The sequence below is a fragment of the Homo sapiens genome, chromosome 10, assembly GCF_000001405.40.
Source record: "Homo sapiens chromosome 10, GRCh38.p14 Primary Assembly".
NCBI classification, from domain to species: domain Eukaryota; kingdom Metazoa; phylum Chordata; class Mammalia; order Primates; family Hominidae; genus Homo; species Homo sapiens.
In genome coordinates this window covers 31,930,070-31,949,711 of record NC_000010.11, presented here as the reverse complement: position 1 = coordinate 31,949,711, position 19,642 = coordinate 31,930,070, and the positions used below count along the sequence as shown (strand labels likewise).

The 19,642-nt window shown below is 39.5% G+C and overlaps 1 long non-coding RNA gene across 1 annotated transcript in view, besides 1 other annotated feature; it reads right to left on the bottom strand.

Moving 5' to 3' along the window:
* LOC107984219 (uncharacterized) overlaps positions 1–19,642 on the bottom strand; it is a 97,548-nt gene that overhangs the window by 70,688 nt on the left and 7,218 nt on the right. The window lies entirely within an intron of this gene.
* Positions 8,050–9,249: an enhancer, noted in NCBI's record as "P300/CBP strongly-dependent group 1 enhancer chr10:32229391-32230590 (GRCh37/hg19 assembly coordinates)". NCBI's record gives its function as "activates an origin of replication core promoter dependent on BRD2, BRD4, P300/CBP, MED14 and CDK7 cofactors, with strong dependence on P300/CBP, by STARR-seq in HCT116 cells {active_cell/tissue: HCT116}" and the evidence as "EXISTENCE:reporter gene assay evidence [ECO:0000049][PMID:35650434]".

Sequence of the window (19,642 nt, the reverse complement as noted above, 5' to 3'; positions counted from 1 at the left end):
ATTCATATGTTGAAATCCTAAACCCCAAGGTGAACCCTCATATACCAAATTAGAGACCTTGTAATATATGCCCATGGGAGCTCATTGGCCCTTTCCACCATGTGAGGACCCAACTGAAGGCACCATCTATGAATCAGAAAGTGGGTTCTTAACAGACACTGAATCTGCTGGCACCTTCTTTAAAACATTTGTAATTTCATTTTCATTTTTAGAGACGGGGTATCGCTTTGTCTTGCTTTGTCACCCAGGCTGGAGTGAAGTAACGTGCTCATGGGTCACTGCAGCCTCAAACTCCTGGGCTTAAGCAATCTTTCTGCCTCAGCCTCCTAAGTAGCTAGGACTACAAGCATGGGCCACCAATTCCCTGCTATCTGCTGGGAACTTGATCTTGGACTTCTCAGACTCCAGTACTGTGATAAATAAATTTCTCTTGTTGGTAAGCCACCTAGTTTATGGTATTTTGTTATAAAAGCCTGAACAGACTGTGAAAATCCCCGCCTTTTTTTTTTTTTTTGAGACAGAGTCTTACTTGCTCTGTCACCCATGCTGGAATGCAGTGGCATAATCTTAGCTCACTGCAACCTCTGCCTCCTGGGTTCAAGCCATTCTCCTGCCTCAGCCTACCGAGTAGCTGGGATTACAGGCACGTGCCACCACACACAGCTAATTTTTGTATTTTTAGTAGAGACAGGGTTTCACCACGTGGGCCAGCCTGGTCTTGAACTCCTGACCTCAAGTGATCTGCCCGCCTTGGCCTCCCAAAGTGCTGGGATTACAGGCGCGAGCCACCGTCCCTGACCACACCCCCCCTGCCTTTTTTTGTCTTTTATAATATTGATAGTTTTGAGGAGCTCAGGCCTACTACCTCATTTTATTTAGATTTTTATTTTTCTTTAAAAATTAAAAAAAAATGTTTTGTAGAGACAGGATCTTGCTATGTTGCTCAGGCTGGTCTTGAACTCCTGGGCTCAAGCAATCTCCTCACCTTGGCCTCTAAAATTGTTGGCACTGCAGGCATGAGCCATTGTACCTGGCCTAATTTAGATGTTAAAGGATTGTAACAGTGTTAGTAAATTTTATGACAATTTGAGAAAGAGAAACTCCTAAGTCATTTTGGACTAATATTCATCCTGTCACTTTGAAGACTATGCTAAATTTTGAATGTGAATGAATCTCATTTTAAGAACTAATACCCTAAAATTGCTTAATGACTCAAGTGTGCTATTATATAATAGAACTTAAAAGTAGAAAACATCTAATACTGCATTTTTTCCTAGTGAAGGGATAAGCAGTTGAGACATTTTAGCTCTATTTTGTTTTGTCATTTTTGTTTTATGATCACAGGATTACTTAAAAAGGTGGACAGCTGGGCACGGTGGCTCACGCCTATAATCCCAGCATTTTGGGAGGACAAGGAGGGAGGATCACTTGAACCCAGAAGTTTGAGACCAGCCTGGACAATGTAGTGAGACCCCGTCTCTACAAAAATTTTAAAAAAATTAGCCAGTTGTGTTGGCGTGAGCCTGTAGTCTCAACTACTCAGGAGGCTGAGGTGGGATGATCACTCGAGCCTGGGAGATTGAGGCTGCAGTGAGCTGTGATCTTGCCACCGTACTCCAGCCTGGGTTGACAGAGTGAAAAGAAAAAAGAAATAAAAAGGGGACCTAACTTTTTTACAAGCACGATTTTTGTGTAGTGTATATAGAAAGTCAATTTTTTAATGTGTTCAGCAGCTGAAATCGTTGTATACTTCCCCATGTGCAATGGAACAGAAAAACGCTCGTTGTTTTAGAACACCAGAATATGCATGAGACATAAATGTGTTTTTCCCTGATGAAAACAACTTCATTTCACTTCCGGAATTTCAAAACTACCATCTGGTAGTCAACCCTGTTTTTCCACCAGATGGCAATAACCCATAATGGCTGAGCAGGATGAATGGAATGTACACAAAACAGTGCAGGGTGTGAGCATTAAAAGGGCTGTGAACGTGAAATGTGGTAATGTAGGAAAAACGATGAGTCCCAGGAGAAGAGGATAAATAATGGATTGCTAAATCTGGCACCCTTGGAGCTAACAACATCCATCATAAAAGGGGTCACATCATTTAAGAGCAAACTTTAAAAGCAGAAAGCGTTCCAGTATTTGTTATTTTTTTTTGGTTTGTTTTCAGAATCACATATTATAGAACAGCTGACAGAGTGGAAAAATTGTTGATATTTAAGTAGAATCTGTACCAAAAACATATTGTATGTTCCTAACAGAAGTGATAAATTCAGAGAGATTATTTTAGGAAAAAGGAGGGAACCGGAAGAACTGCTGATGAAATCTGCAGGCCACTTCTCTTCCCCTCCACCATGACTTCAAGAATCCTGCTGACACTTCACACTTCTCTTCCCAAGTCTGTTTAACTGGGTACACCTATTTGGTTTGGATTTTAGGTGGCATAATACAACCCAACCCAATGCTATTCAAACTCCTGTAAATAACTGACAGCAGGCTACAGTCCCAAATTACAACACGATTTTCTTTTTTGACAGGTTTTATGTAAAAAGACTTTCGCCCCCTATTAAATATCTGTCATTTTCTCTTGCTCTGGGTTCTTTTTCTGAGAACTAGACATACCTCTGATAAAGGTCATGCTATTCTTTTTGGAGACTAAATAATACCAATATTTATCATTATTTTTACCATTTTCCTTTCTTTCTTTTTGAAAAATAACAATATGGGCCTGGCGTGGTGGCTCATGCTTACAGTCCCAGCACTTTGGGAGGCTGAAGGGGATGGATCACCTGAGCTCAGGAGTTCGAGTTCGAGACCAGCCTGGGCAACATGGTGAAACCCCAGCTCTACAAAAATTACAAAATTATCCAGGCCCATGCCTGCATGCCTGCAAGGCTACATGCCTGTAGTCCCAGCTACTTGGAGGCCGAAGCAAGAGGATTGCTTGAGCCTGGGGGGCAGGGTTTGCAGTGAGCCAAGATCCTGCCATTTCACTCCAGCCTGGGCAACAGGGTGAGACCCTGGACCTTGTCTCAAAAAAAAAAAAAAAAAGTTAAGGAAAAAATAAAAACAACATGGAGAAACCCCATCTCTACTAAAAATACATAATTAGCTGGGCATGGTGGTGCATACCTGTAATCCCAGCTATTCAGGAGGCTGAGGCAGGAGAATCGCTTGAACCTGGAAGGTAGAGGTTGCAGTGAGCTGAGATCGCGCCATTGCACTCCAGCCTGGACAACGAGAGCGAAACTGTGTCTCAAAAAAAAAAAAAAAAAAAAAAAAGAAGTAAAGAAGTTCCAGCTTGTCAGATAAAGACCAGAATTTTAAATAGACTGGAAAGAACTAAAACAAAGGTGGTTATTAGGGCACATGCTTACACAATTTCATAGGAAGCAGGACCATTTCCTTTTGTTTTGGTAAGTACATCAATGATCTATCTAATATAGGCGAAGATGTACATAAAACAAACAAAAAAAAAGAGATGAGATCTAAGCAATTCAGGTTTCCTTAGAAAATATTTTTTTTAAGGGTGCTCTAATGAAAAATGTTAAGCTCTTCTCTCTCTCTAACATTTTTATGTTCACTGTAAATGTCCTAAGGAATCAATATAAAATTCTTGAAAATATGGAAAAGTAAAAAGACATCAGTCTAAAGACAACTAATATTAACATTTTTGGCTGGGTGCAGTGGCTCACGCCTGTAATCCCAACACTTTGGGAGGCTGAGGCAGGTGGATCACTTGAGGTCGGGAATTTGAGACCAGCCTGACAAACATGGAGAAACCCCGTCTGTACTAAAAATACAAAAAAAGTAGCGGGCCATGGTGGCACATGCCAGTAATCTCAGCTACTCCGGAGGCTGAGGCAGGAGAATCACTTGAACCCAGGAGGCGAAGGTTGTGGTGAGCCGAGATTGCGCCATTGCACTCCAGCCTGGGCAACAAGAGCAAAACTCCGTCTTAAAAAAAAAAAAAAAAATTAACATTTTTAGTGTATTTTCTTTCATAGTTACTTTTTAAAAAAATAATTGTTTTCTTCATCTTTAAAAAAACCTGTTTATTTTCATGGGTGTTTCATAGTGTTCATGACCTCATCTCTCATATTACATGATAACATAAGTCTTTTCCTAGGTGATTAGAAACACTTCATAAAACAATTTTAATTGCTTCACATGTTTCAGTATAGTGAGCCATACTTTAACATATCACACATTTATTTAGTTTTTCCTTTTGCTATTACAAATAGTAGCACTGTGATGCATGCTCTAGTGTATACAAAATATTTTTCATATTTAGGCTTATTTAGGATGGATCCCTAAGAGTGAAATTAGTAGTTCAAAAAGCATAAACATTTTTAATGCTTTGTCTTTTATTTGTATCATTGCCAATTTTTTTTTAACAGAGCTGAGTCCATTTACACTGCTCCTAGCAATGTGCAAGAAAGCAGCTTTCACACTGATGCCATTACTGTATTGTCATAAAAAAACAACCAACCAAACACTTTGGGTCTCTCAGTAGTGTTTTAATTTGCATATCTTTGATTACTAGTGAGATGGAACCTTTTCCCACTGTTTGTTAAACAACTGAATTTCCTCTTTTGTGAATTGTCTACTTTGTCCTTTGTCTGTTCATCTCTTGGGGTCTTTGTTATCCCTATTTACATAGAGAACTGACAAGCACTGCCCAGAGAAAGGCCTTCTGTATGCGACACCATGGAATTCTTCCTCTTTTAAGTTATTCCAGACGAAGCATTCAAACAGCAATGTGAAGGGGAAGCCAGGAAGAGCAAAAAGATCAGCAATATATTTTTCTGTGCTATTCAAATGAAAAAAGGTTCATCTTACTGCAGTAAAATGGCTCTGTTCCTTTACCTAATCCAGTACTTATTTTAATACTGTGTATTGGAAATTTTGATCACTTTTCAAAGAATTCATTGTATATTATATAACACCGGGAGTACATCTCACCATGACTCACTGCAAAGCTATGGTGGTTACACAAAGTGTTGCCATGCCAGGCTCATCTTTTAAAATGATTTAATCAGATGTGATTTTAATTTAATTTAACTTGATGGAGTGTCATACTTTATTCTGTAGCCACTTCCTGAAAGGTTGGCACTTCCACGTACAGCTTTTCTTCTGAATACAATTAGAGCAAGTACAAGGAGGGGATATAAATACAGACTCCTGGCTGGGTGCAGTGGCTCACACCTGTAATCCCAGCACTTTGGGAGGCTGAGGCAGGAGGATCCCTTGAGGTCAGGAGTTCAAGGCCAGCCTGGGTAACATAGTGAGACCCTGTATCTATTGAAAAAAGTAACAAATAAATAAATACAGGCTCCTGGCTTTGAAGTGAAGGTAGTTCAGCTGAACTGTTCTCACACTCTGTACTGCAGTGTCCCGTCCCAGGCTTCAGTGACATGCCTGCCAGTGGCAATGGCAGGGCTTCAAGCCAGTAAATAAGGCCAGGAGCAGTGGCTCATGCCTATAATCCCAGCACTTGGAGACGCTGAGGTGAGAGGACACTTGAGACCAAGAGTGTGAGACCAGCCCGGCCAATGCAGTGACAGTTAAAAAAAAAAAAAAAAAGATCAGTAAATTAGTCTAAGGCTGCCTTTGTTCCACTTGGTCAGTTATGGAACCTTCCTAAATTTCCTTATCTGAAAAGTGGGGATAGTAATAGTTCTTCTTCCTATCCAAGATACAGTTTAAACATTATAAGAGAAAAATATTTTCAGGATGAAAACAAGAATGTTAAGTATTACCATATTATAATGAATGTTATTTAAAATATAAGAACCAAAAATGACTTATTTTGTCAAATATCTTAAGGTCATAAAAAGAATCAAGGCCTATTACGACTGAATAGGATCTGAGAATCAGCCAAACCAATCCTCTCATTTGACAGAAGAGAAACTGAGGTCATAGCAGGTAATATCCAAGATAAGACTTGTCCAAGATGGCGCTGCTAACTAATGACAGAGCTAGAATGCTAATTGGGGAGTTCCATAAAGAAATCCCCTCAAGAAATCTTTCTACTGCTTCTTCTCCCTATCCAGTGGGTAGAATGTTATTACTAAGTGCAATCAAGTAAGGAATTCCATATTGTTCCCCTTATCATCTTTAATAGAAACTGTTTTTGGCTGATGCCTGTAATTCCAGCACTTTGGGAGGCCGAGGCGTGTGGATCACTTGAGGTCAGGAGTTTGAGACCAGCCTGGCCAACATGGTGAAACCTTTGTCTCTACTACAAAAATACAAAAAATTAGCCAGGCATGGTGGCAGATGCCTGTAATCCCAGCTACTCGGGAGGCTGAGGCAGAAGAATCACTTGAACCTGGGAGGTGGAGGTCGCAGTGAGCCAAGATCATGCCACTACACTCCAGCCTGAGCAACAAGAGCCAAACTTCATCTCAAAAAAAAAAAAAAACTGTTTTCAGAACTCCTCTTTTATTTTATACCTATCGTGAAAATAACTACCATTTTAAATAGGGTAAAATAAAGTTTTCTGACAACAGAATGTGAATTTGTGTAAACTAAAAACATCATATGTCTAAAAGTTTAAAAAGTAAATATCAAAGAGCAGATTTTAATCAAACTGAAGCCTCTTTTGAGTCATACTTGCAATGCAGTCCCATTCTGTATCAGCCAGTGGGGTACTGCAAACATACAGGAGAACGAAGGTCAGCGAGATGAAGTGGAACCAGTTTGACAGAGAATATGCAATCTTGTTTCAACAGACTGATTAATATGAGAATAAATAAATTTGTTAGCCACTAAGAAGGAGGGCTCCGGAAGCTTTGTGATTTAAGAGAAGCACATCACAAAGGGGAATCTACTCCTGTTTTCAATTAACCATTGAAGTGAAGGCATGGGAAACTTTACAGAAATAATGTGGATTTGCAACAAGGAAATTCAATATCAACACTTTGAAGAATCTTATTCATACAAGACTGGGAAAGCAGGCAGCAACTTGGTTTATTTGTGTGAAGCTATGGGAAACTATTTTTTATTTTTATTTGTGTAGAGATGGGGTCTCACTATGTTGCCCAGGCTGATCTTGAACTCCTGGCCTCAAGAGATCTCTCATTGCCTTGGCTTCCCAAAATGCTGGGATTACAGGCATGAGCTATTGTGCCTGGCTAGAAACTGTATTAGTAGATACTTTCCATTGGTTAAGAGCTGAAAAACATAATTAAAAGTAGTGTTAGAGAAGCCACATGCTCGGATGCAGAGCCAACACAATTTGTCTGTCAAACCCAAGGGAGATGGTTTTTGTTTTACCTTTTTCCCCCAATTTCTTTAACTATTATACAACTTTTGCTTTCTTTCATATATTTTCCCCCATATGAAATAGGATTTCATATATATTTAGTTAAATTCTCTCTTATTCTACACACACACACGCACACAAAATAGAAAGTTAATCAAACAGAAAAAAATGGTCAGAAAGTTCTACATGGCAAGGACTTTTCTGTTTTTTTTTTTTTGAGACAGGATCTTCCTTTTTTGCCTAGGGCAGAGTGCAGTGGCACAATGCTGGCTCACTGCAACCTCTGTCTCCTGGGTTCAAGTGATTCTCGTCCCTCAGCCTCCCTAGTAGCTGCGATTACAGGCAGGTGCCAACACACCTGGCAATTTTTTTTTTAGTAGAGATGGAGTTTCACCATGTTGGCTAGGCTGGTCTCGAACTCCTGTCCTCAAATGATTCACCTGCCTTGGCCTCTCAAAGTGCTAGGATTACAGGCATTAGCCACTGTGCCCGGCTATTCTAGGCTTTTTCTTTTCTTTTTTCTTTTATTCTTCTTTTATTTCTTTTTGAGACAGAGTTTTGCTCTTGTTGCCCAGGCTGGAGTGCAATGGCACGATCTCTGCTCACCTCAACCGTCACCTCCCAGGTTCAAGCGATTCTCCTGCCTCAGCCTCTCAAGTGGCTGGGATTACAGGCATGTGCTACCATGCCCAGCTAATTTTGTATTTTTTAGTAGAGGCGGGGTTTTTCCATATTGGTCAGGCTGGTCTCAAACTCGCAATCTCAGGTGATCTGCCCACCTCGGCCTCCCAAAGTGCACGGATTACAGGCGTGACCCTGGCTCTAGTGCTTTTTCTAAGTAGCCATGTTATTTGCCTGTTTCTCTTCCTTTTGTTAAAATAAATCTTTTGGACTTAGCACACCGTGGATAGTGAATAGATATTTCAGAGTCAGAGAACAGTTCACTTTGATTTCACAGATTTTATAGAATATGCAAAGCACAGAGGCTTTACTGCACATCTAGATTTAAACTTGGTAGTCCTGACAATTCTAGAATCTGTGATGTTATACCAGGAAATGAAAGCTAAAACTATCTCATTTTAGCCATTAATTTTAACCTTTTCTCTCACTAACCTTCAAACAAAACCAGTAAGGTGGTGAAAAAAACGTTCAAAGCTTTAAACCTTCCCACTGACCTTACACCCCAAAGATCAAAGTGAAGACTATGCTGTGATTTGCCTAAAAGACAAAAAGATGAGAGATCAAGGCTCTGCATTAGTCATGAAGTGAACATTTGTCTCAAAATCAATCAAAATAGACTTGGCAGGAATATTGAATGAAGCCAACATTTTGCTCTTGTGCAACTGTCACAGATCACATAGTGGCTGCATTTTATATCTCATAGAATGGTGCCTCCAGCAATGTGAGTGAGAGCACTGGTATTTTCCTGACTCATAAGGACAGGAGTGTGCCGCCCGCTGAATCACCCTCCTCATTTCCGGGGGTGCCTGGGTGTTCCAAGACACTCATGGAGGATTAAATTATGGTTGCCATGACAGCTCCCTAAATGCTGTCTTGATAATATCAACAGCTATAGTATCAGTGTTCCCTGAATGCTGACTTATTTTCTCTTCCAAAACCTCAATAATTTTCGTAATCAAAGTTCTTCAATAGCTATGCAAATCTAAGGAATTAGTAAAAATCCTTTTTTTCTTAGATAGGTTGCCATATTAAGATACAACTCATCTCTTTCCATAAGATATATTCTTTTGAGTGAATGGTAATTGACATATGATGTTGTTTGTTGTATTTTTAGAAGGTATGAATAATATCAAAGTTAGAATAAAAATGGAAAGTTCTCACAATTTTTTAAAGTTATGGAAGCTTGTATTTGAGGACACAAATCTGAATTTTTTAAGCATTAGCTGGCATCCTGTGATAGAGGGGGCTGGTTTTACATGTGCCAGTGATTATGCAAATTACCATATGTAAGAACCTGCCTAGGTAAGAGGATGTTCTGTCCCTCTCCCTCTTCCATTCTAATGATTTGAGATATCAGTGAGTAGAGGCAAGGGAAGAAGTTCCTGGCAAACCTGTATTTTTATTTTAAAAAATCTCACTGTTGGGAGGTTGCAATATCTTTTAGGAGCATTACCTTAGAGCATTGAGTACTGAAGGTCACTTGCAGATGTCATAACGAACACCACAAAATGTTCAATGACCTTGATGCTTATTGAAATGTCTTCACTGAATGTTTTGAAACTGGGCAACTCTTGAGCCTTCTTTGCTGCTTTCTGATACAGTGTTCTCCTCTTTTCATTTCACTTTCTCTTAGGATGTTTGCTATTACTTTTTTGCTGAGATGTTCCTGGAATCCTTCTAATTTTAGTTGAACAAACATTTATCAAAGACCTGTTGTGTTCCCAAACTGTTCCTGTTTAGGAAAGCAGTTAATCAAGTGTATTAGTCAGGGTCTTGTCAGAGAGAAGTCCACTCAAATGAATTAAGTGGGAACAGACTTAAAGATAGGCTATTCACAAAGGTGAGGGTAGGTTAAGGGAACTTGTAAGAGACGGTGAATCGGGGAGCATTACAGAGCCTGGAGGGAGCAGGAACCATCTTTATCGTTTATTGTTATGATATGCCATATGCCAGGTTTTGCTCCTGAAACTATTTTCCATGAAATCCCCTTGTAATCTCTTTCTAAAATGAGAACAAGGGCATATTGCAAAAGGGAAACTGTGCCTTGATAGGAATGTGCTGATATATATTATCTCCTTTTATCCTCCCACCCACCTCAATATACCAATCCTATGGATTTTAATACTATAATTTGTTTGGATGTTTTTATCTACTGTACCAGATTATACAAATTTACATAAAGTTTCCTCCACCGATGTACTTACTGTTTGATACTTGCTAGAATTTCCAGTGCAATGTTGACTAGGAGTGGCAAAAGCATGAATTTTTGCCTTGTTCCCGATATTAGGGAAGGACTTTTATTTTTGAATCAAGAAATATTATTTATATCTTAGCTGTGTTTCATATAGAAACATTGTGTGCCCAAATGTGACAAATAGTAAATGTTTTTCATGTAGTCTAAATGATCTCAAATAATAAATTATTTATTGCTGATTTTTATTAATTTTAGGGTCATTTCCTTAGTGCCTGAGTGAAACTAAAATGAGTGTATATTTAATTTAGAGGATAACAGCAGAACAAATTATCAATTAAAATATATCTGAATTATTGATTGGGTGATTACACATTTTAAATTTGAAGGCCAATTACTAAATTTTCTTCTATTAGGCAGCCAGGGCTACATAATTTTGGAAAAAAGCTCTAGGTGGCAATCTGTCTCTTAGCCCTTTACTATGTTGAAGTCAAAAGAAAATAGAGATGAATCTCTAGGCATTTTATTTGGGAATCACAGAATTGTAATTCAGAGCATACACAGATTACAGAGGTTTTCCAGAGGCCCAAAGGACAATCCCAAAGTCAATTTTAGGTTAAAAAAACTTTTAAATTAGAATTTGGTTTTGGGAAAGTGGCAAAGATGTTAAAGGCTTAAAATATTTAATTAAAGTAGAATTGCATGCCATTGAGAAATAATAGCCATTTATTTAATCAGAGTGATAAATGAAAGACTTCAAAAGCAAATACAAGAAGTAACATAGGCCAGGCATGGTGGGTCATGCCTGTAATCCCAGCACTTTGGGAGGCCGAGGTAGGCGGATCGCTTAAGCTCAGGAGTTTGAGACCAGCCTTTGCAACATGGCAAAACCTCATCTCTACAAAAAATACAAAACTCAGCTGAGAGTGGTGACATGTACCTGTAGTTCCCAGCTACTTGGGAGGCTGAGGTGGAGGATTGCTTGAGCCTGGGAAGTTGAGGCTGCTATGAACTGAGATCACCCTGCTGCACTTTAGCCTGGGCAACAGAAGACGACCCTGCCTCAAAAATAAATAAAACTGGCCAGGTGTGGTGACTCACGCCTGTAATCCCAGCACTTTGGGAGGCTGAGGTGGGTGGATCACCTGAAGTCAGGAGTTTGAGACCAGCCTGGCCAACATGGTGAAACCCTGTCTCTACTAAAAATACAAAAATTAGCTGGGTGGTACGTGCCTGTAATCTCTGCTACTTGGGAGGCTGAGGCAGGAGAATTGCTTGAACCCAGGAAGTGGAGGCTGCAGTGAGCCAAGATCGTGCCACTAAACTCCAGCCTGGGCGACAGAGCAAGACTCTGTCTCAAAAAAATAAAAAAATTGGCCAGGCATGGTGGCTCACACCTGTAATCCTAGCACTTTGGGAGGCCAAGGCGGGCGGATTGCGAGGTCAGGAGATCGAGACCATCCTGGCTAACATGGTGAGACCCCATCTCTACCAAAAATACAAAAAATTAGCCGGGCGTGGTGGCAGGTGCCTGTAGTCCCAGCTTGGGAGGCTGAGGCAGGAGAATGGCGAGAACCCGGGAGGTGGAGCTTGCAGTGAGCCGAGATCGTGCCATGCACTCCAGCCTGGGTGACAGAGCGAGAGTCTGTCTCAAAAAAAAAATAAAAATAAAAATAAATTAAAAAAAAAAAACCAACCAAAAAAATCCAAAATCAAAACTCCGTTGAGACAGAGAGAAAAAAAATAAACTTGGCTCTGTATTGAGATAACTTTTTCCAAGTAGTCAAAAACCTAATAAAAACAGGAAAAGCACAAGAAACTACCTTAAAATATAACTTATCTGTTTTTTTAGGCTGATTATTTAAGAGGTAAAGAGAAACCTCTTGTGGCTGGGTGTGGTGACTCTGGCCTGAAATCCTAGCACTTTGAGAGGCCAAGGCAGGCAGGTCACTTGAGGCCAGGAGTTTGAGACCAGCCTGGCCAACATAGTGAAACCCCGTCTCTACTAGCCGGGTGTGGTGGCTAGTGCCTGTAATCCCAGCTACTTGGGAGCCTGAAGCACGAGAATCGCTTGAACCCAGAAGGCGGAGGTTGCAGTGAGCCGAAATCGCACCAGTTCACTCCAACCTGAGCAACAGAACGCGACACTGTCTCAAAAACAGAACAAAACAAAACAAAACACTCTGTCTCAAAAAAAAACAAAAAAAAAGAAAGAAAAAAAAAGAAAAACCTCTTGTAGTACGACTGTTTCTCTTTCTAGGATGCCTGTTTGAATTACCTGGAAGTCAAACTTCATGAAAAGGTACTAGCATTTAATTAAACACTGGAAGAGTATGTGACTAAGGTTATGAATATACACCACGTTATAGAAGAGTAATGTAAACAAGAAACCTGTACCTTGCGCAGGAGGATGTATGACTGTAAATTTGCCTGGTTACACAGAACAACTTTGACACACCAAGAAAAGCCAGGAGTACAGAATCAAGTTATACCAGAGGAAGCATTGTTCTCTCAGGCCTTTAAGACAAACATGTACCAACACACAACAGCACAGTCAGAAATGAGAAAAAAAAAAAAAAAGCTACGGAAATTGGCAAAAACGTTGAGAAAGAAAGCCACTGAGATATTACACAGAGCTGGTCATTATCTTACTTTTTCTGTTAAAGAAAAACCCTTAAAAGTTAAATTGTTGTGCTTGGTATACAGGGAACAATGGACACTGCATTGTACTCTCATCTGTACATTTATTTTGCGGTGAAACTCATACTTTTATGATCTTAAAGCAGCTAGCAAGGACAAATATAATCTTGTCTGACCAGCAAATCAAGCCACTCCGTACCCCCAAATGTGTGCTAACAATTTTGAAGACATTTTTATTTTTATTTTATCAACAAATTTAAAATTAGCTTATTATCAAAGATTTACTTAAGTCCTGTGAACTAAAAAAATTTTAGTTATTATATTTTTTAACAAAATATTAGATTTGAGCACTTAATTTTTCCTTTTAAGTCAAATAATTAGGGTTCTTTAATATATTTTGGTAGAAAATAATCTTAAGTCAAATAATTAGAGCTCTTTTATATATTCTGGTAGAAAATGATCATATGCATATAGAAATAAAAAACCCATAAAAACATACAAACAAAAACAAAGACCATATAGTTTTTTGTTTGGGTTTGTTTTGTTTTTGAGACTGGGTCTTGCTCTATTGCCCAGGCTGCAGTGCAGTGGTACAAACATAGTTCACTCTAGCCTTGACATTCTGGGCTCAAATGATCCTCTTGCCTTAGTCTCCCATGTAGCTGGGACCACCACACCCAGCTATCTTTTTTTTTTTTTTTGTAGAGACGAGATCTCACTGTGTTGCCCAGGCTGGCACATAGTTTTTATTAAAAGTTTATTCTTGAGTAAAGCATAGTAACCTAAATTTGCTGGTTTATAAGAAGACAATTGGATTCAAACCATATTTCTGACAACATAAGGCTAAACTTTGAGTGTCTTTTTTTTTTTGAGACAGAATCTCACTCTGTCGCTCAGGCTGGAGTGCAGTAGCACGATCTCAGCTCACTGCAACCTCTGCCTGCTGGGCTCAAACTATCCTCCCGCCTCAGGACCCTAGGTAGCTGGGACTACAGGTACTTGCCACCAAGCCTGGCTAATTTTTTTTTTTTTTTTTTTTTTGTAGAGACAGGGCCATGTTGCCCCAGGCTGCTCTTGAACTTCTGACCTCAAGCAATCCACCTGCCTAGGCTTCCCAAAGTGCTAGGATTACAGGCACGAGCCACTGTGCCTGGCCTTTGTTTCTTTAATAAGTAATCTTAAAAAGGCTGGGAAACAAATTTTGGGTAAAGCAGTTTGAGTCATTACCAATATACTGGATTGGACAAAAAAGGGCTGTGAAAAATATGACAATTATGTGAGGAGCCCCAAAAGATAAGAGTTATTATTTTTATATTTATTTATTTTTGAGACAGGGTCTTGCAACAGAAAAAAATCTGTTGCCAGGGCTGGAGAGCAATGGTGTGATCACTGCTCACAGCAGCCTCGACCTTCTGGGCTCAAGCGATCCTCCTACCTCAGCAACTCAGCCTCTCAAGTAGCCAGGACTACAGGCCCGTGCTACCACGCCCAGCTTTTTTTTTTTTTTTTTTTTTTTTTGAGACGGAGTCTAGCTGTGTTGCCCAGGCTGGAGTGCAGTGGTGCGATCTCAGCTCACTGCAACCTCCACCTCCTGGGTTCAAGCAATTCTCTTGCCTCAGCCTCCCAAGTAGCTGGGATTTTTTGTTTTGTTTTGTTTTGTTTTTTAAGTAGTAGAGATAAAGTCTCACTATGTTGTCCAGGCTGGTTTCAAACTCCTGAGCTCCAGCGATCTTCCCGCCTCAGACTCCCAAAGTGCTGGGATTACAGGTGTGAGTCACCACACCCTGCAAGAGCTATTCTAACGAGCTTTATACAATATTTTCTTGGTTTCTATTACTTATTCTTGAGACTAAGAGTGCTGCCTTTCCTTCTAGTATAGGGAAGGTGTCTTTTACATGGAAATTTCATCTTTTGCCTTTAAGAAACAGCATTAAGGCCAGAATAACTATAGAAATACTATGAAAACTAAAGTTTTGGCTGGTTCAGTGGCTCATGCCTGTAATCTCAGCACTTTGAGTTTGAGGCAGGTGGATCATCTGAGGCCAGAAGTTCAAGACCAGCCTGGCCAACACAGAGAAACCCTGTGTCTACTAAAAATACAAAAATTAGCCAGGTGTGGTGGTGCACGCCTGTAATCCCGACTACTTGAGAGGCTGAGACACGAGAATTGCTTGAATCTGGGAGGTGGAGGTTGCGGTGAGCCGAATTGCACCACTGCATTTCAGCTTACACGATGGAGAGAGACTCCTCCATCTCAAAAAAAAACCCTACAGTTTTAATAGTAACTATTAAGAATATATTTTCTTTTTTAAATTTTTTTTTGAGATGGAGTCTCACACTGTTGCCCTGGCTGGTGTGCAGTGGCGTGATCTCGGCTCACTGCAACCTCCGCCTCCCGGGTTCAAGCGATTCTCCTGCCTCAGCCTCCCAAATAGCTAGGATTACAGGGGCCCACCATCACACCTGGCTAATTTTTTGTATCTTTAGTAGAGACAGGGTTTCACTATGCTGGCTAGGCTGTTCTCGAACTCCTGACTTCGTGATCTGCCTGCCTTGGCCTCCCAAAGTGCTGGCATTACAGGCGTGAGCCACTGTGCCCGGCCAAGAATAGATTCTTATTAATCAGTATGCCAGAATAGTTGAGGAGTTTTGGAAAAAGAGAGTTTAGCATAGAGAAGGATAAAGGGGAGGAGGAGGAAGGGGATGGAAAGGTTTTGGGGAAGAATGAGTCCCAGGTAGCTTTGTGACAGTACTTTGCAGTGAGGCAATCTTTGAGTCTTGAATGTGAGTCTTTGAGCCTCAAGATACCAATTGAGATATCTGTCCTATTTGGACTGTATGATTTCATAGATGTGGCCCTTTACTTTAGTTTTAAGAAAAACGGACTTTTTTAATGATCCCTATAATGTTTGAACACGTCAGCTGGAGTCTCAGAAGGGGGAATTATTTTGGCATGCCTTTGAACTTTGAGAGCCCATTTGTAAATAAATTTAGCTGACTTGGTTTAATGACAAATACACAAAAACTTATATATATATATATATATATATATATATATATATATGAGATGGGGTCTCACTATGCTGCCCAGCTGGTCTTGAACTCCTGGGCTCAAATGATCGGCCTGCCTCAGCCTCCTAAAGTGCTGGGATTACGGGCATGAGCCATGGCGCCTGGCCACAAAAACCAATTTAAAATCCAAGTGTGCAAATGAATCAGAAAATAAAGTATGTACTCCCCAAGAGGGATAATAAGCCTTCTTTAACAAAAGAGAGAAAAAAATCCCTTTTAAACAGGAGTCCTCATAACCAGGAAGAAAAACGTATTCATCTTAACCAAGTCTATAGCAAGGAGGGAGAAAGTTCCCCTAAACAGAAGATTTCATAGCTGGTAGCGGGGAAGGATGCCTCCCAACCAATTCCCAAATAAAACTGAACTAAACCAAAAGAAAAAATATGAGTTCAAGCCAACAGAGACTCACCATGGGGAAAAGAGGTGGCTCGTAGAAGTTTGGGGGCTCAAGAGGCCTGAATTTGGGTACTTCATGCCACATTCCAGGTGCTAATTCTCCAAGGTGAGCCTGCTTTGGATCCCACTTCTGACTTCAAGTATGTAGAAATCAAAATAAAATATAGAGATGAATCTCTAAACATCTTATTTGGGAATCACAGAATTGGAATTTGGGATATATATATATATATATATATATATATATATATGCACATACAGGTGGTCTTTGGTATGCTCAAAGAACAAAAAGAAGGTTGGTAGTTTATTAGAAGGAGAAATGTTATGTTTTGTTTTAAAAGAAAGCTCACTGCTACTGGAGAAGCTTTGGGGAGCTGGCAAACTCTGATTGCTGAAGACAGCAGTAGGTAACACTAGTCTATGAGTCACAGTAGGTCATTTCAGCAGCTACTAGGTAAAACTATTCTTATGGTTACAGCAGGCTGTTTTAGCAGCTGGGCTTGCAGAAAATTTAATTTTTGGAGCTGGTGCTATGTGCCCTGAGTGATTTTTCCCCCCACTCCTGGACTCTTTGAGTTAGTTGGGTATGACAAGAATGTCCTAATTTGTATAATCAACTATTACAAGTACTAATTATTATTATTATTTTTTGAAACAGGGTCTCCCTCTGTTACCCAGGCTGGAGTGCAATGGCACCATCTTGGCTCACTGCAACCTCTGCCTCTCGGGTTCAAGCAATCCTCCTGCCTCAGCCTCCTGAGTAGCTGGGACTACAGGCGTGCACCACTATGTCCAGCTAATTTTTTGTATTTTTAGTACAGATGGGGTTTCACCATGTTGGCCAGACTGGTCTTGAACTCCTGACCTCAGGTGACCCACTTGCCTAAGCCTCCCAAAGTGCTGGGATTGCAGGTGTGAGTCACCACACCTGACCACAAGTACTAATATTTGTCTTTAATAATAGTTAAAACTGATCATATGAATTTATATAGTGAAAGCAGTGAGATTTCACAAGAAAATATTAATAAATCTCCTAAAACCCTTAAAGATGTGTTATGCAAATCTGACTGCTATTGTACTCATTATTCTCTTTGAGATTTCTGGAAATTAAGCCCACAAATAAATATAATCAAATACTGAAACATATCAGACAAAATCATTTACAGGGCATCTGTGTAACCCATGGAAACAAGAAGCAGTTGATATTACAAAATGGGTGAGTGAACAGATACACGAGAAACATATGCCTTTAGCGTTTTTCCCAAAATATATTTTGTTGACCTTAATTAACAGACAAATGATCCATGAAATTCTAATTTTATTGTTTAAAATGGAGGATCCAATTTGTTAAAACTTGTTCAAGGAAGGCTCTACTAAACTTGAAGAAAAATAGAGTACTTCTGAAAATTTATATACATTTGATAAAATGTATACTAAGCCTCAAAATAAATGTACCTGGATTTTAAATTATTACGGTAAGAAACAGACATCATTCAATCTGAACAAAAACTCTGAGGTTTTCAAAAGTTTGCCTATGAGCACTAGCTTACCTGATTTTATTTATTTATTTATTTATTTATTTATTTGAGACATGGTCTCACTCTGTTACTCAGGCTGGAGTGCAGTGTCACAATCTTGACTAACTGCAACCTCCACCTCCTGGGTTGAAGTGATCCTCCTACTTCAGCCTCTGGAGTAGCTGAGACCACAGGCACACACCACCATGCCTGGCTATTTTTTTTTTTTTGTATTTTCATTAGAGATGGGGTCTTGCCATGTTGCCCAGGTTGGTCTTGAATTCCTGAGCTCAAGCAATCTGCCCGCCTCAGCCTCCCAAAGTGCTGGGATTATAGGCATGAGCCACTGCACCCAGCCTCCTTGATATGTTTATTTTACTCAGGTAAACTTTTATAAAACAGAAGAAGCCTGAATGTTTTAATAACAACAACAACAACAAAAAGATGCCAGAAAAATTTTAAACATTTTCACTATTTGAATAGATAAAACATTCTGAAATTTTGAATATCAAAAAGTTTAAATATGAATACAATGAAGTCTATTTCTTATGCTTTCCATCTACTGTGTTCTCATACCTCATGTTACTTTGTCCTAGTTTAATGCATATACAATTTAATACAATATTCTGTACCGTATTTCTGTGTTTTTCACTTAACAAAAAAATCTTGGAGATCTTAATGTTAAAACAAAGAACTTTCTGTTTTTTTGATTAACAGCTGCACAATGTTCAAACATATGGCTCTATCATAATTTAACTAGTATCCTGTTGATAGATACTTAGCTTGTTTCCAATCTTTTGCTATTCTCAACAATAAGAAACACCTTGTTATTTCTTATGTGTGGAAACATCTGTGGCATAAATCCCTGGAAATGAAATTCAAGGCTCCGAGTATATATGCATTTGTAATTTTAATACATACTGCCAAATTCCTGTTTCTTTATAGCCCAGCCAAAGTAGTGATGCCAGATATAATTTTGTTTTTTCATTTAAAAATATATAATGAAAAGTAGGTTACTTATTAAAGAACTAGGAAGAAAGTAGGACAAGTTTATGCAAAGTACAGACTACATTTTCACCTAAAAATACATTTAACAGGAATCTATTGTGCATCTACCGTATGCCAAGTGCTTTTAGGCACTTGGGATATACACACAAACAAATCAGACTCAAATCTCTGCCTGTGTGTGGAGCTTATATTTCAGTTCTACATTTTGGAACTCTCTGCTACTTCATAAGAAGCCAGTTAAATGTCAAAATCCTGAAAATGATCTGTTGAAATCCTGAGCACAGGCGCCAGACATATGCTACAAGTGTTATTTAAAAACTAACTAGAGGCAGTGTTACATATGATCATAGCTCTCCATCAGGTTCTTTTAAAACAACACACTAGCGAGAAAGCTCTTTTTATCCGCCTCCATCTGCTGTTGGTGGTGATCAGCATACTGTGGGCATTGTGGTATCATCCGAGATTAGGCTGTGAAATAGGAAGTGGGGTTACAGGCAGATCCGCAAGTGTATGCAAACTGTTGAGTTCTATCTCTTGCTAAAACCAAGGGTGCCCAATTCAGGTTTGGAGAGTAGGGAAAGTAAGGTTATCAGCGCATTCCTATCAGGGTCGTTTTCTTTTTTGCACTGCTCTTGTTCTGGTTTTATAAGGAGAACACAAGCAGAGTCTATGGAAAATAGTTGCCAAAGCATACAGGAAATACTCCTTATACTGAACAAATGCAAGAAAACAGAACGGGTTAGAAACCGAGGGAGACAAAAAGGCAGTGGGTGCCAAGGACTGTGAAAAGCAAATGCAACGATAGAGACAGCACAGTCTCAGGCTTATTTTTCAAAAATTCTCATTGTAAGCCTCTTTCCTTTC